The 3,000-nt window shown below is 42.4% G+C and overlaps 1 annotated feature.

Moving 5' to 3' along the window:
• Positions 220-329: an enhancer, noted in NCBI's record as "active region_20088". NCBI's record gives its function as "activates an Ori minimal core promoter by ATAC-STARR-seq in GM12878 lymphoblastoid cells {active_cell/tissue: GM12878}" and the evidence as "EXISTENCE:reporter gene assay evidence [ECO:0000049][PMID:35858748]".

The raw sequence follows: 3,000 nt of genomic DNA, 5'->3' as shown, positions 1-3,000 counted from the left end.
ACACAGGCACACACACAAAGACACACACACACAGGCATATCTTCTCTTTTACACACACGCTCTCTCACACACACACACTCTCTTCACACACACACACGCACACGAACACAGAAAAAGGAAGTGACTTCCACTCGGTGGTTAATGACAGAGCTGCCACTGGAACACAGGTCTCCTGATTGACTTTCTGGCCAATCCTGGTTCCTTTGATTGGGGCTGAAATTCATCCTCCGTTCAGGAACTTGCTCTGCCTGGGACTCCACTGCACGATTCTGGCAAGCCACTTAATGTCTCTGCAGCTCAGCGTCTTGACAGTAATTGGGGACAATAATAGTTACCTACTTCATAGGGATATTCAGCGGCTCAATTAGTAAAAGCTTCTAAAGTACTTGAGTCCCATTATTAGTTGTAATGGAGTACATCTGCTGGTGTTGGCCAAATCAGTTGGCTCTTGGTAGGAAATGGTCTTTCTAAGAAAGAGCCATAAAGACACAAGCCCTAGGGACTTGAGAAAATAGGAATAGAGCCCAGTGCTGCTAGGTATTTCAAAACCCTCGTCACTTGATTTTTAAGAGAAGATGTTGGAAATTTCTGCCTCAAGAAGTGATCCTTGAGTTTATAGCTATGGACACATCATCAAAGTGACTGCACTGAATGGATGTGCAGACACCAAATTGGGACAAGGTGATGGAGAGGGGCTACCTCAGGTAAATGGAAATAAAGCTATGCTTAGAGTTGCCCAAGTTGCCCAGGTAAAATTCACACCCAGTGATTGTAGTTAGCCCTCTGTATCAGTTGAGATACAGGGTAATCTGCTGTTACAGAGTTCTGAAGCTGCGGTGGCATATACGAGATACAAGTAATTTCTCTCTCTTGTCGTAGTCCAGAGGTAGGAATCCAGAGCTGGTTGGATCACTGTTCTCATCTCAAGGCTTCTGCTTGGGAGCCAATTTCTCACCATTTCCCTACCAGTAGGAGGGGGACAGGGAGCTTTTTAATCTGAGGACAAGATCCAGAAATTGTACCAGCGTTATTCTGTTTAGCCCATTGGCTAGGACCATTGGCTATTCTCTCTGCCCATTGGCTTGTAGTCTAATGGCTACATCCTACTGTAAGGAAAGCTGGGAATTATAGTCTTTACTGGGCAGTCTTTACACTGAAAGGAGGAGAGGATAGAGAGGAGGCAGGGGATGGGGGACAGCTAGCAGTCTGCCACAATGTGAGAGTGTCTGCAGGTGTATAAGTGAAGAGTGTCAGAATATCCAGGACTCCAGCTGGTTCACAGGGGATAATCACAGGAGTGGGTCTGGAAAGTGACTGGAACTTACTTAATAGGAATCAAAAGAGGTGGTCAGGCTTCCTGGGAGAAAAGCGAAAATAGACACTGGTCCCATGCCATGGAGACGTTTTAACCTGTTTGAAAGATGCAGTCTTGGAAAACAATGCTCACCTACGCCCAGGAGTCTGACCCACAAGAAAAGCCTCCTTCAACCCAGAGGCTTTAGCTTCTAGGTCTTGATCCTGACACATGTTTGGAAGATGAAAAGGGAAAAGGCCAGAGAAAGCTCTCCCAGAAGGTAGCATCGGTTATTCCTCAAAAGAGGTGTTTCTCAAGCATGGGGCCAGTGGCGCAGTGGAAAGAGGAGTTTCTCTACATTTTATTAAAGGAAGAGGAGAAGGAGAAAGATGAAGATGAGGAGAAGACACTTCCCCTTGCACTTCAAAACCCCTCTAGGATGACCTGCAAATTTCTGGAAAAATGTAATGTAATTTGCACGTTTCTTGAGGAATGATAAATCTGGTTAGTGGATTTGAATACGCTGAGAAGGAAGAAAACCTCAGCAGAATGTAAGGCTTTGTAATCTGGTTGCCATTTGGGAAAAACTTGCTAAGATTTCTCATTAAACAGCCCTCGGATGTTTTCAGAGACTGGTTTTGCCTCAGAACATTCATGCCTAAGCCCCTCCACTTGTCAAAATTAGAACAGAACAATGCCAATCTGGAGAATTTATTTTTAAAAAGCTCACAGTTGAGCCAGGCAAGACACTGAGACTAAATCAGAGAGATGAACTTTTTATTATGAAAATTGTAACACATGTACAATAAGCCCAGCTACAGCAATCAACCACTCATGGCCGATCTTATCTGTACTCCCCACCTACTTTGTGCCTTCACCCTGTATTATTTTGAGTAAATCTCAGTATCATACCATTCATCTGGAAATGTTTCATATGTGTCTCTAAAGGACAAAAATTCCTGGGTGCAGTGACTCACACCTGTAATCCCAGCACTTTGGGAGGCCAAGGCAGGAAGATCACTTGAGCCCAGGAGTTCAAGACTAGCCTGGGCAACATAGTGAGAACCCATCTCTGCAAAAATAAATTAAAAAAATAAAAATTTAAACTAAAAAAGAATAAGAATTATTTATAAAAGACATGACCACTATACATAACCATACTTTAAAATCAATAATAATTTCTTAATATACCCAAATACCTAGTCAGTATTTAAATGTCTCCAATTCTCTTCCTGTCCCTCTTTCTTCCTTACAATTGATTTGTTTACATGAGAATCTAAACAAGGTCTATGCATTGCATTTGGCTGCTACATCAGATGTCCCTTCAGTTTCTTTTCATCTATAGTTCCCTTTTCACCTATTTTTTTTCCCTCTGTATTAAGTTTCCCAAGGTCTGGATTCTCTGGCTTCATCCCAGTAGTGTCATTTAACATGTTCCTCCTCCCCTGCATTTCCTCATGATTGGTTGACAGATCCTTGGGCTTGGTCTCAGGTTAGATTTGGCTTCACAGGTTTATGTTCTTACCATAGCAGGCCCCTTATGTCTGATCATCTCTCTGTGATGTTAGCAAACACTGATGATCATTTGCTAGATCCATTATTTCAGTATGGTTTGCAAAATGCCATACTCTAATTATTTTATTCCTTTTCTATTTACTAGCTGAAATACTTCTATAGACAGAAATGGTCTCTCCTCAGCCATTTAT

This window comes from Homo sapiens, chromosome 3, assembly GCF_000001405.40.
Source record: "Homo sapiens chromosome 3, GRCh38.p14 Primary Assembly".
In the NCBI taxonomy this organism is placed as follows: Eukaryota; Metazoa; Chordata; class Mammalia; order Primates; family Hominidae; genus Homo; species Homo sapiens.
The sequence above is the reverse complement of the archived record's forward strand: the minus strand, read 5'-3'. Positions and strand labels throughout refer to the sequence as shown.